Source organism: Homo sapiens, chromosome 7 (genome assembly GCF_000001405.40).
Source record: "Homo sapiens chromosome 7, GRCh38.p14 Primary Assembly".
In the NCBI taxonomy this organism is placed as follows: Eukaryota; Metazoa; Chordata; class Mammalia; order Primates; family Hominidae; genus Homo; species Homo sapiens.
Window position 1 is genome coordinate 49,521,054 of NC_000007.14, and position 14,449 is coordinate 49,535,502.

The 14,449-nt window shown below is 36.3% G+C and overlaps 1 long non-coding RNA gene across 1 annotated transcript in view; it reads left to right on the forward strand.

Annotated features, from left to right (window-relative positions):
• Window positions 1-3,156: 3,156 nt before the first annotated feature.
• LOC124901804 (uncharacterized) overlaps window positions 3,157-14,449 on the forward strand; it is a 60,358-nt gene continuing 49,065 nt past the window's right edge. The window contains exon 1 of the long non-coding RNA XR_007060628.1: window positions 3,157-3,282. This is a non-coding gene — a long non-coding RNA (uncharacterized LOC124901804). The remainder of the gene's footprint in view (window positions 3,283-14,449) is intronic.

Genomic DNA, 14,449 nt, shown 5'->3' on the forward strand with positions numbered 1-14,449 from the left:
ACAGCCTAAGAAGACAGCTGGCCTCCTTAGATGACACTTCTACTCCCACATAACCCAAATTCTAATGGAAGGGATTCGTGTAGAAACCACATCATTCACAGGGACTTGACTGCATGCCTATGTTCTTGATGAGCTAAACTCCTCTGGAAGGATGGAGGCTTTCTCCTTTTGCCTCAGCCCACACTATTTATTGAATACCATAACAACCCTCCATTTACTCAGAGGAAGTGCTTTGCATTTGCAAATCATTCTGGGAAGCCAAGTGAATTGGCATTTCTAAGTTAAAAATGTTTTGTTTTTTTAAAGGATGCTTATCCATTTAAATCCTGAAACAGATCCAAATCTTTACTCATCACATTAAAAAAGAAGAGCATAACACAGAATTCTCCCATTCAAAAAAAAAAATGGTATTCTTCTACTACTTGTTCTAAATCCAACATACATACCTTAAAGATTCAGATTATGATACCTGAAAGTTGACAGCATCAGTTCGAGGCCCATTGTCATGATGTAGGTATACAAAACAGAGTTGAAGTATGCTCTTCCTAGCAAAACAGATATGAGTGCTACCATTGTTCACTTGTGAGGAGAATACAAGGCCTAGATTTATTCTGAAATCAACTCCATGAAGTTTATGAAGGGCCAGAGGAGTCACCTCAGGAGAAGGTGTCAAGAACACAACACATGTAAATAAACGAGGATGGGTGCCTTGCTTATTTAAATAACTCCTGTGCTCCATGCAGAATCCTTTCACTTTGAAAACACACCCTGCCACAGCAAAAAAAAAAAAAAAAAGTAATAAAAGTTAGGGAAAAGAAATTTAAATCACTTGAAAATGGAAAACCTTACTAGCATGTTCTGATTGTTATTTTCAAGGAACAGTTAACTACATTAAATAACATCACCCTTGTACTTCCTAGGTTACCCTGGCACAGAGGCATTTTGTAGATTACAACCACCCAGGGGGCTTTCCAATGATCACTAGAGCATCTTCCCTTGCACCCAATCAGGAACCTGTTTGATCTGTTTCTTCCCTTTGTCTGATTCTTGATTCTACTCTCATTTATATGTCTGCCTTTGATCAAAGGCATCTCTCTGACCCTGAATTTCAGCTCAGTCCCAAACATTTCAAATGAACGTAAGTTTCTGAATCTATCTCATCAATCTCCTTGAGAATTCCACCTTCTGCCACTACTCTGGGAATCAGCCCCAGGCCCAGTCCTTTTCCCTGTGAGTCACCCAAACTATTTGTTTGTCCAAGAGCAGAGTTCTACCAAGTCTCACCATTGCACACTGGGTTTATACACTTTCCCACAGATCAGCAAGATGAATGTAATCCTGAGCTTTGGAAAGATGGTGGTGAGAGTGAGGACACACAATACGTTCTCCTACAGCCATGTGTCACATTCATAAGGTGTGAAATTTTTACCAAGATTGATATTAACATTACCACAGGAAACCCAGTCTTCTCAGAGACTGAAGATTGCTTCAGAGCCAGTCCTGCTGGCACACCAAACAATCTGCAGGTTATAAAATTTAACCCTTTATCTACATATAAGTCATCTCCAAGAGCTGCCATGGGCAGCATCTCCAAAATGAACCTTATTCCCTTCTCTAGAGTACCTGGAATGGCCATTCATCAACAGATGCACTCTCCCCGCTAGACCTGCTGTCAACAATGGGCCACTGCCTCTTTTTGTAAACAACAATGGAATGATTATCCATTTTTGCATTGTCTATGGCTGCTTTCTCATTATACTGGCAGAGATGAGTAGTTGAAACAGAGGCCTAAATTCCCCAATATCTAAAATATGTATTCTTTGGCCTTTACATTAAACAAACAAATTGCTGACTACAACTCAAGGTCAGGAGGTAGTTGGCTTTTTGATAATGTTGATATTTATTTCTACTTGTATGGTGCTCCTCTCTGTTTTCAGTGGTCGTGTTCAGTATCATATGGTGTTCCTCTGACATTGAGGCAGGTAATGGCATAACTCACAGTTAGTTTCTTCAGAGTGTGAGCCATCCCTAACAGAATATGAATATTAAATGTATAATAGATTTTATAGTTAGATTACAAAGGTATCCATCAGAACCCTCTAACTTAGGATTGTACATTCATAACATGCATTAAAATCAATTTTATATTTTAAACACTTTTCTTATTAATGTAACAATTTTTCTTGGTTTTTATAAAATGTCAAAGGGAATTAACAATATGGAAACCTCTGTTGCCTACTCCTTTCCTTTGAAGCCTGGGTTATTCTGCAGGAGAAATGCTGCATGTGATCACTCAGCCTGTGCTATAGCAGAACCAACTGTTCATAGTCTACAATGTAAATAGAGACCCCTAGAGTTGTGCAGTACCCAATCTACACAATTGTAAATGGTGGCCCATAAATTTCTTAGCCAAATTTAGGAAGCAATTGAGATAAAACAGGATCAGGTTTTCAAATAAGACTCACGAAAATCTCAGATCTTTGTCAGCGCCAAAGCATATTCATAATTTCAAGGGTACAAGTAACCACGAAGTGTAGTGAAGCATAGTGAGGTCTGGAGTGTTGCCCACAGGTCCCTAGGTCTTTTCTCACTACACTGGACACTGGCTCTATTTGCATATAAGGTCTCTAAATAATATATATAGCTACATCCTCAGGGGAAAGAAAGGCACCTGGGTCAAGAAACATCTTCAGTTCATACTCAGATAGTTATCTAGCTTACATGACATTTTCTTCAGTATCATGCCTTATAACTTCATGGATCCCAAGTGTATGTATCATGAGCAATACTAAACAACCAAGCACAGCCCACTCAAAGCTTCCCATTGATAAGGATTTTCTCCTCTCCCTAGCAAACACTATTAGTTCATTTGCCAGTGAAGCACAGTTATAAGGAGATTTAACTGAATATCCTTCTTTTTTCCCTGAAGCAGCTCCTTAACTTCTTACTTCCCAGAAGTGTTTGCCAGAGGCAGCCGAAGTGAAAGTGGCCAGGATAGAGTGCCTGACTCATCATCCAGAATAAGCAAAAGTAAAGAACCTGGGAATTTAGAAACAGGTCAGAATCTATTTGAAGAGTGACACAGAATTGAGGTTGAGACCAAAAAAATGTGTGCTCTAAATCATGTTTTTGCAGAAACTAAGTGGAAGTTTCCAGTGTGGATGTCATTTTGGTTGGGAACACACATTTCCTTAGGAAAAGCAGGAGGCTGTGATGGAAGAAACTAAGGATCTTGAAATTGGATAGACCTATTACCACCTTCCCTAACTTCAAGACTTCAAGGTACTGTGAATAAGTTACGTGTTGTTGTTTTTTGTTTGTTTGTTTTTTGACAAAGTCTCACTCTGTCTCCCATGTCGGAATGCAGTGGCATGATCTCGGCTCACTGCAACCTCCGCCTCCTGGGTTCAAGCGATTCTCCTGCCTCAACCACCCGTGTAGCTGAGATTAAAGGCATGCTCCACCAGGACTGGCTAATTTTTGTGTTTTTAGTAGAGACGGGGTTCCACCATGTTGGCCAGGCTGGTCTTGAATTCCTGACCTCAAGTGATCCGCTTGTCTCTGCCTCACAAAGTGCTGAGATTACAGGTGTGAGCCACCGGGCCTGGCCTACTTACTTCTTTAAGCCAGATTTTCTACACCAATAAAGGTGAGCTTGCAATGCCTACTGTGTGGTGAGGAGTAAATGAGCTATAGTATGTGAAGTTCTCAACACAGTGCCTGGAATAATGAAAGTCTCTTCCTTTGGTTCCCTTTGCTCCCACCACCTCATGCAGAATTTCAAGCCAAACAAATATACCAAACTACTAAGAAAAATTATCTGACACTTGGAAATAGGCCATCAAAAAAGACTAAGTTTTCTTTTAGTGCAGCACTGGTGTTAACTTTCTAATCAATAGGCTATTTTACAACTATGTGAGGGCTTAGGATACCTTGGAGATTTTTATCCAGTAGAGCTGCAAATAATTTCCATCCAATTGAATATATAATCCCAAATAGCATGGTTTATAGCCCTGTTGCATATTAACCAACATTGCACTTAATCCATGCATCTACTAAATTGTCCATATATCTATATCTTGGTTATCAATTGTTTTTTGGACTGCTGTTAACAGCATATGTGTTTCCTCATTATTTTATGATTTGAGGATGATGTCTGACGCATGCTCAATTTATATTTGGATGGAAGACACATTTTTTTTAACATTATTATTTAGCGAAATGTACCTAATGGTTTACAGTGGGATTCAAAGTCTATACTGTGTCCTTTACAACATGTGTTAAGTCAGTCATAGATTAAGAGGAAACGTTGACTCAGGGTACCTGGTGGTAGAGTGTGCACTGTGAGAGAAGAGGAGAAGGCTCTGAATGTATTCAGCAGAGGTCTCTTTATCAACTTACTTACCTCCTACCCTCTTTTCTCCAAGTGGTAAGTGTGGCATGATGACCTGTGGCATCCATCTGGTTTAGGGAGACCCATGTGGGCAGAGGAAATACACTCTGCTCTAAGCCTCTCAGGTCAACCCTGTCTTTTGCATTTTGCCTGCCACATTTTTCACAGAATCAGTTACCTTCATCTTCAGAATACCAAGATCTAACAGGCCACCAAGATTTGGGTATAGATTTAAGATCAAAAAGGCTCAGAATGTCTCTTGATCTTCTCTTAGTTATTTTAAGCCACTTAGGCTAGTTACAAGTTAGACAAAACCAGATACCCATGCCATCTAAGATAAATCACTAGAAATTGAGGCAAGATAAATCACTGTAATTTGTGGTAAAACAAACAGTTAAGTTTGCAAACTTTGTCTTCCATTCACATATCCTCTTTAAAGACTGCAAACTGCAATAGGTGGCTGTGTGAAGACAGAATTATCACATATGAGACCCTGAGGGTCCAGCCAAATACTATTTCTCCAATGGCAGCACTTGGTTGGGATTAAAATTTACCTAATTTCTTCTAATGAGAACTCTGTCAATGTCTTTTTTTTTTTTTTTTTTTCAACTGCTTCAGAGATACTATTCTCTCACCCCTTTACCTTTTACATTCTATCTTCAGGAGTCATCTCATTTATCCCTCTGGGTTTCCAGTCTATCCCCTTGACCTCAAGCTCTCTAAAGGACATAGCTTTGTTTCCCTTGCCTTTAACTACTTATATCACTTCAACTAAGACATATCACTGCAAATAAGCAAGCTTGGTGTAGAAAGCCTATGGCTATAAGTAACTGGAAATATTGGGTTGAATATTAAAGGGATTTAAAGATTATACAGGTCTTGATAATTGCTATATTTGCCACTCACGAATGACATTAAGAAAAATATTTCTTATCACATTTAATGGGAGATATTTAGGGTGGAAGTGCTAGAGAAAATTTGCATATTTCTTCCTTAGTGTGAAATCTATTTAACTGCTAAAATTCAAATTATACAGAAAGAAAAAAAAGCATATTCATAAATAAAATTTATTGTAAAATCCTTAAAATTCATGCTTGGAAGCCTATATTCCTTTTACAGAGTGTTTCTCCACCTTAGTCATACCTTAGAACCCCCTGAGGAGACTATAAATGTGCTGACACTTAGACTGTACTCAAGGTCATTCAGTTAGACTTTGTGGGGATGGACTTACAGATCAGTATTTTTCCAAATGTCTCTGGATTCCTTTGGGGTTCTGCATTAATGCACTTTCCATGTGTCTACAAGTTAAAAGCAAACTAAATTAAATAATGGATGTGGTGTGTTCAAAAGAGATCATAAGGCTTATGTTTTATTAAAAAAGCATATGCAATTTTAAGTGGCGTGTTTCTAATTTATATCTCATTTTAAATTAAGTATAATACTAAACACCTTACAAGAGCTACTCAATTAGGATAAGACTATCTTTTCACAGCTTCAACCTTGATGTAACTATATTTGGTAGGAATGTAATAGTACTTATACTTTCCTAGAAATATCAACCCATCTTTGAACTCTGAAGTGGCTACAATCACTCGCTTGCTCTTTTCCTATCTTTGACTCTCACAGTCCCTCATGTACAAATGCACACAGATGCCACAACCTCTGATCATGCTTTAACGTGTATGTAGAAGCATGATATTTTATATGTTTAAGGATATTCAATAGTTTTACTCGGTTATATTTATTTCAAAGGAACTGCTCTATCCAATATTGAACTTATAAGAACACGATTATTCTCTCAGACTTTCACTGTAATTCTTTTAGCATCCCTCAAAATGCACTGCTGAAGCAGAAATTACATTTCCAATAATGTCTGTGTCCTGGATGAGTTATGTTAGTTAACTTTTCTTCCTGCTGGCTCTGGGGCTTGATTGCTTAAATACCTTAGAGATATTATGACTCATACTCTGGTTGGTTGGTGTTTATGAGAACATCATCCAAAAATCAGAGTCTATATTCATTTAAACTATAGTGATTGAATTAGTTGATTTTTAGATGAATCATCTGGTGTAGATTAAAACATAAAAATAACCTATACTTCCTAAATGTTGTCAGGTTTTTAAGAGACTTGAAGAGGTTAATTAGGATAAAGGATAAATAATTATATTATTCAACAGTGTGAGTGCTAAGGCTTAAATCAGCCGATTTTGCTCAATTCCAAAAATGATTCTTCAAGCACACCGTTTTAGTCCATTCTTATGCTGCTATAAAGATCTTCCCAGACTGGGTAATTTATGAAGGAAAGAGGTTTAATTGACCCACAGTCCCACAGTTCCACAGGGCTGGGGAGGCCTCAGGCAACTTAGAATCATGGCGGAAGGGGAAGCAAACAAGGCCTTCTTCATATGCGGCAGGAAGGAGAAGTGCAGAGCAAGGTGGAAAAAAGCCCCTTATAAAGCCATCAGACCTCATGAAAACTCACTCACTATCACAAAACAGCATGGGGGAACCACCTCCATTATCTAATCACCTCCCATGAGGTCCCTCCCCCAACATGTGGGGTTTACAATTCGAATTACAATTCAAGGTAAGATTTGGATGGGGACATACAGCCAAATCATATCACACACAGTCAAGTGGATTGCTTTATCGTTGACATTTTCAAGGAGGTCAGAGATTAAAATATGCTTAACGTTTCTTTCTTGGGTAGGAACTTACTTGAAATGCTCCAAATAAAAAATACATTTTATAATTTCATAAGTTCAATAATTGTTTCTGGGCTTTTGTCATGCTTTATGAATTATGCTAGGGGAACATGGTATGGTAAAAATTCTCAGCCACACCTGAAAGGAAATCACAGTCAACATACAAATGAAAAATTAAGCAAGTAAGCAATGAAAATGCAATGTTTTATGATGCTATCTTGGATAAAGTACAGGAGGTTATGGATTTTGAAAAGAAGGAGATCTAACTGGTTTTGGTGGTCATTGAAGGTTTCTTAAAGAGACATTTAAATGAAGACTCGTGAATACAATTGTCCCTTAACCAATGCAGGGGTTCGGTGTGTAGATCCCTTTTATAGTTGAAAATTTGTGCATGACTTTTGACTACCCCGAAACTGAACTATTAATAGCCAAATGTTGACCAAAAGCCTTACCAATAACATAAACAACTGATTACCATATATTTAGTATCCTATATGTACTATACACTATATTTTCACAGTAAATTAAGCAATAATTTATTGTAATTTATTACAATAAAAGAAAATGCTATTAAGAAAATCAGGCCGGGTGCAGTGGCTTATGCCTCTAATCCCAGCACTTTGGGAGGCCAAGGCAGGCGTATCACCTGAGGTCAGGAGTTCGAGACCAGCCTGACCAATATGGTGAAACCCCATCTCTACTAAAAATACAAAAATTAACCAGGTATGGTGGCGGGCACCTGTGGCCCCAGCTACTCTGGAGGCTGAGACAGGAAAATTGCTTGAACCCGGGAGGCGAAGGTTGTGGTGAGCCAAAATCATGCCACTGCACTCCAGCCTGGGTGACAGAGTGAGACTCCTTCTAAAAACAAAAAAGAAAGAAAAAGAAAAAAAACATAAAAAAAGAAAATATATTTACTATTCATTAAGTGGAAGTAAATCATTATAAAGGTCTTCATCATTGTCTTCACACTGAGTTGACTGAGGAGGAGAAAAGAGAGGGGTTCTTCTGCTTTCTCAGGGGTGGTAGGGATGGAAGAAAATTTGCAGATAAGTGGACTCCTGCAGTTCAAACTAATGTTCAAGAGTCCCTTGTATATGTAAAATCAGGTATCAACCAACCAATGGAAAGGGTATGCTAAGCAAGGATAAAAATGTATGAATGGTTAGAAGCAAGAATACATAATTCATAAACTGCAAGTACTTCAGAAACCTTTGTGAGGGTTTTTTTATAATTCCCCATAGGTAGAACTGTTGTGGTGTGTGGGTGCATGTTTGCGTGTGTGCGTTTTGCTATAAGATAGGTTAATCTGATTAGCAATATAAAAATGCTGCTTTAATAACAAACAATAGATTGGAGAGACTTACACTTTCAACTAAAATGAAATAATAGAGGCAGAACTTAACCTTTTTCCTGAAACAACCAAAAAATTGATAAACTATATCAAGTGATGGTTTTAAGACAAGGAATTTGAGAAAGCAATGGACAGTTATCCCTGAAGGATGTTAAGCAAATGAAGTGAGGGCTACAATCTGCCAGCTCACTCCAGTGAGAGAGTAGGTACAAGTTAGAGTACAGGTGAGGGAAACCCAGAGAGAGTCCAGGGAATTTTCTGAGTTAAATAAATATAGCCGGCACTCTGAAGAGACCATAAAAAAGGAGTATCAGAGAGAAGAAAGCTATGTAAAGAAAGAACTCTGAATATCCTCAGAGGTTTGCCTTCAAGTAGTCATCTAAGTACTAATCACATATATTTCTGAGGAAAATATGATAGGCTGGGAAATAAATGCCTAAAACAACTAGAGGAAACTGTGTGATTCAAACAACAGGTCCAGAAACAATGCCTGTTATTTCAAGCCAGACTGGAAAGACTGATAATTCCTAAGACATTGGGGAAGCATGCAGATGTGTGTTAATGCAGTAGTAAAGAATAATTAGGATTAGTTTTGTCCCACTCAATAATTATTAAAAATTAGACCTGAAAAGATCACAGCATTTAAAAATAATTTAATTGCATCTGAGAACTAAGCTAATGAATATTTATGGAAATACAAAAATAACCAGCACAAAAGAAGATAGATGTGTAATTTCTAACATCCAATCTAATATCACTAGGTATATAAAGAAGTAAGAAACTATGCAATGTAATGAGTACATCATTAAATCTATTGAAACAAACTGAACAGACGTTAGATTTAGCACATAGAGACTTAAACAGATATAACTATTCTACATGTTAAAAACGTTAAGTAGTGATACTGAAGATATAAAAAAGACCAAAATTCAAAATTATATATGAAAATTTCACTGTCTGAGTTTTTAAAATCTATACTGAATGTGACTGATAGGAGATTGGATATCAAAGATAGAAAGGTTAGTGAATATAAAAATATATCAATAAAAATTGTCAAATGTTAAATAGTGCCAGTTCCCAAACAGCATGATTCAACTTCATGGTATATTAACTGGCAGTAGTTGAATAGAGTACGAACTTTCTTCCAGTTCTTTAGTCCACAAATCACAATATAAATAACAGATTTGGATTATGATTAGTGACCAATTATAGCACTTATTACAAAGTCCACTGGTAATAAGTAACTGCATCTGTTATTTAGTTCCCACACAGGCAGCAAAGCATGAAGTTGTGCTTCTTCCTTGTCTTCATGTGGTAAGTCAGTATGGATAATTAAAATGAAGGATTTGGTTAAAAATTATATATATATATATATATATATATATGTATATACATGCAACAAATAAATGATAAGTGATATATTAGAAATAAAATTTGAATTGAATTAAAATGGAGTTATGGAAATAAATAGCCAGCTGTGGGAGTATTAACACCAACACTGTTCAAGAAAATATAGATGTGTAGCCACAGAAACTGAATGAAGTGAATCTACTTACATAAATGAGGAAAGTGATCAAAATAAAGACAAAGTTGTTGAAGAAGAAGTAACACTGGCAGGAACTTCACATTAAAGGAATTTGGGGGATTGATATCAGCAAGATGGTGGAATAAGAGTTTCCAGTCATGGTCGGGCTCATACCTGTAATCCCAGCACTTTGGGAGGCCAAGGCGAGTGGATCACATGAGGTCAGGAGTTTGAGACCAGCCTGACCAACATGGTGAAACCCCCTCTCTACTAAAAATACAATATTAGCTGGGCATGGTGTGCACACCTGTAATCCCAGCTACTTGGGAGGCTGAGGCAGGAGAATCGCTTGAACTTGGGAGGCAGAGGTTGCAGTGAGCCGAGATTGTGCCATTGAACTCTACCCTGGGCAAAAACAGCGAGACTCTCTCTCTCTCAAAAAAAAAAAAAAAAGAGTTTCCAATCCTCGTCCTCCCACTGAGACTCCAATTGAACAATCATTTACAAACAAAAATACGTTCATGAGAGCTCCAGAATCCAGGTGATCCAGGTGAGAGGATTCTTTACCCAATTAGAGTACAGAAATGATAAAAGATATTGAAGAGGGTAAGAAAAACAGTTTTGCTCACACAATTCCCCCCTCTCAAAAACTCACATAACGCAGTGTCAAAAAAGAAAAAAAAAAGATAACTCTCAGTCCATGAGTTTGTCCGTGAAAGAAAGTGGCAGCAAAGTAAGCATCTGACTTCTCTGCAGATTCTGAAATGAGGGCCACCTTCAGATCTAGACACCAGGCCTGCACCCATGTACCTGACTATAGGCCCACCTGAATAAATTGGCAATAGACCCAGTGTCCCATAGACTCCTCCAGCCAGCTTACCCAGACAATCTGGCTAACCTGACTGGTAAAAAAGGTTTCCCTGCTGAAGCCAGTCTGTAAAGGATGTAAGAGTTAATTACTTCTTCAAATGCATAAATACCAGTGCAAGATAAAGAGTCATAAAGAATGAAGGAGGCATGATGCTACCAAAAAAAAAAAAAAAAAAAAAAAATGAAGCTGCTGTTACTGACCCTAAAAAAAATGGAAATCAAAAAACTGTCAAAAAAGAATTCAAAATAATTGCTTGAAGATAATCAGTGAGCTACAAGATGACAGAAAGCAATGAACAAAATATAATCAGAAAACAATACATGAACAAAATACAAAGTTTATTTTTTTATTTTTATTTGTATTTTCTTAATTTAATTTAATTTTATGTTCCAGGATATATGTGCAGGATATTCAGGTTTGTTACATAGATGAATGTGTGCCATTCTGGTTTGCTACACAATTGACCCATCACCCAGATTTTAAGTCCCACATGCATTAACTATTTATCCTGATGTAGTCCCTCCACCTGCCACCTACAACAGGCCACAGTGTGTGTTGTTCCCCTCCCTATGCCCATGTGTTCTTATTGTTCAGTTCCCACATGTAAGTGAGAGCATGCAGTGTTTGGTTTTCTGTTCTTGTGTTAGTTTGCTGAGAATAATGGCTTCCAGCTTCATCCATGTCCCTACAAAGGACAAGATCTCATTCCTTTTTATGGTTGTATAGTATTCCATGGTATATATGATACCACATTTTCTTTATCCAGTCTATGATTGGTGGGCATTTGGGTTGATTCCATGTTTTTGCTATTGTGAATAGTGCTGCAACGAATGTACATTTGTATGTATCTTTATAATAGAATGATTTATATTCCTTTGGGTATACACCCAGTAATGAGCTCGCTTGGTTAAATGGTATTTCTGGTTCTAGGTCTTTGAAGAATTACCACACTGTATTCCACAATGGTTGAACTAATTTACATTCCCACCAACAGTGTAAAAGCATTCCTATCTCTCCACACCCTTGCCAGCACCTGTTATTTCTTGAATTTTCAATAATTGTTATTCTGACTGGCATGAGATGGTGTCTCGTTGTGGTTTTGATTTGCATTTGTCTAATAATCAGTGATGTTGAGCTTTTTTTCATGTTTGTTGGTCACATAAATATCTTCTTTTGAAAAGTGTCTGTTCATGTCCTTCATCTACTTTTTAATGGGGCTGTTTTTTCTTGTAAATTTGTTCAAGTTTCTTGTAGATTCTGGATGCTAGACCTTCATCACATGGATAGATTGCAAAAATTTTTTCCCATTCTGTAGATTGTCTGTTCACCCTGATAATAGTTTCTTTTGCTGTGCAGAATCTCTTTAGTTTAATTAGATCCCATTTGACAATTTTTGCTTTTGTTGTAATTGCTTTTGACGTTTTCATTATAAAATCTTTGCCCATGCCTATGTCATGAATGGTATTGCCTAGGTTTTCCTTCAGGGTTTTTAGAATTTGGGGTTTTACATTTAAGTCTTTAATCCATCTTGAATTAATTTTTGTATAAGCTGTAAGGAAAGAGTCTAGTTTTAATTTTCTACAAATGGCTATCCAGTTTTCCCAGAACCATTTATTAAATAAGGAATCTTTCCCCATTGCTTGCTTTTGTCAGGTTTGTCAAAGATCAGATTATTGTAGATGTGTGGTTCTATTTCTGAGATCTCTATACTGTTTCATTGGTCTATGTGCCCATTTTGGTACTAGTACCATGCTGTTTTGGTTACTCTAGCCTTGTAGTGTAGTTTGAAGTTGAGTAGCTTGATGCTTCCAGCTTTGTTCTTTTTGCTTAGGATTGTTTTGGCAATATGGGCTCTTTTTGGTTTCCATGTGAATTTTAAAGTAGTTTTTTCTAGTTCCATAAAGAATGTCAATGGTAGTTTAATGGGAATAGCATTGAATCTATAAGCTACTTTGGGCAACATGGCTACTAAATGTGAAATTTAATACAGGGGTAGGACCAAGCAAAAATTCTAGAGCCAAAGAATATGATTATTGAACTAAAAAAAATCGTTGAGTGTTCAACAACCAATCCAATCAAATAGAAGAAATAACTGGTAAGCTAGAATACAGGTCATTTGGTATTACCCAGTAAAAGGAACAAAAATTAAAATGAAAAACAGTAAAGAAAGCCAATGAGACTTATGGAAAACCATCAAATGAACTAATCAATATATGCATGATTGAAGTCTAAGAAGGGAGGAAACAGAAAGAGGAAGAAAGCTTATTTTAAAAAATAACTCAAACATCCAGAGAGGGAAATGAACATACAGATTCAAAGATCCCAAAGTATCCCCAAATAATCTGATTACAAATAAATTCACAGCAAAGCAAAAATTATAATCTTATTTTCCAGTCTAAGACAGAGAATTTAAAAGTAGCATGAGAAAACTGACTCATTACATAAAAGATAATTTACCTAAACCTAAAAGTGAATTTCTCAGCAGAAACCTTGCAACCCAGAGAATGACATATTCAAATTGGTGAAAGAACAACAAAAAATGCCATACAAGAAAACTTTACCCAGCAAAACTGTCCTTTAAAAATAAAGAAGAAATCAATACTTTCTAGACAAAAACAAAGACAGTTCGTCACCATTGTATCAGCCTTACAAAGAGTGCTGAAGTGAGATCTTCAAGTTGAAACAAAAGGATACTGTACAGCAACACAAAAGCATATTGGAGTATAAGTATCATTGGTCAAGGTAATTATATACATAAATACAGAAACTATAATAACACAACATTTTAAGAACATTATAACAATATAACATTATAACAATATAACATTGTTATAACGATATAACATTGTTATATCGATATAACATTATAACAATAGAACATCGTTGTAACGATATAACATTATAACAATAGAACATCGTTGTAACGATATAACATTATAACAATAGAACATCGTTGTAACGATATAACATTATAACAATAGAACACCGTTGTAACGATATAACATTATAACAATAGAACACCGTTGTAACGATATAACATTATAACAATAGAACATCGTTGTAACGATATAACATTATAACAATAGAACATCGTTGTAACGATATAACATTATAACAATAGAACATCGTTGTAACGATATAACATTATAACAATAGAACATCGTTGTAACGATATAACATTATAACAATAGAACATCGTTGTAACGATATTACATTATAACAATAGAACATTGTTGTAACGATATAACATTATAAAAATAGAACATTGTTGTAACGATATAACATTATAACAATAGAACATTGTTATAAAAACATAACATTATAACAATAGAACATTGTTATAACAATAGAACATTGGTGTATAATATAAGACAGTGGTGCATAAATCACTTTTAACCCAAATATTAGTTTTAGTAGACATAGTATTAAGAACAGATACAACCACAACAAACGATGTAAAAAGAAGTAAATTCTGACATCGATAATACCAAGTGGATGCTTCGAGAATGAAACTGGAGAGTTTTTGTGTGTGATTAAAGTCAAGTTGTTAGCAGTTCAAAATAGACTGCTCTAATAATAAGAAGTAAGCAAGCCTCATGGT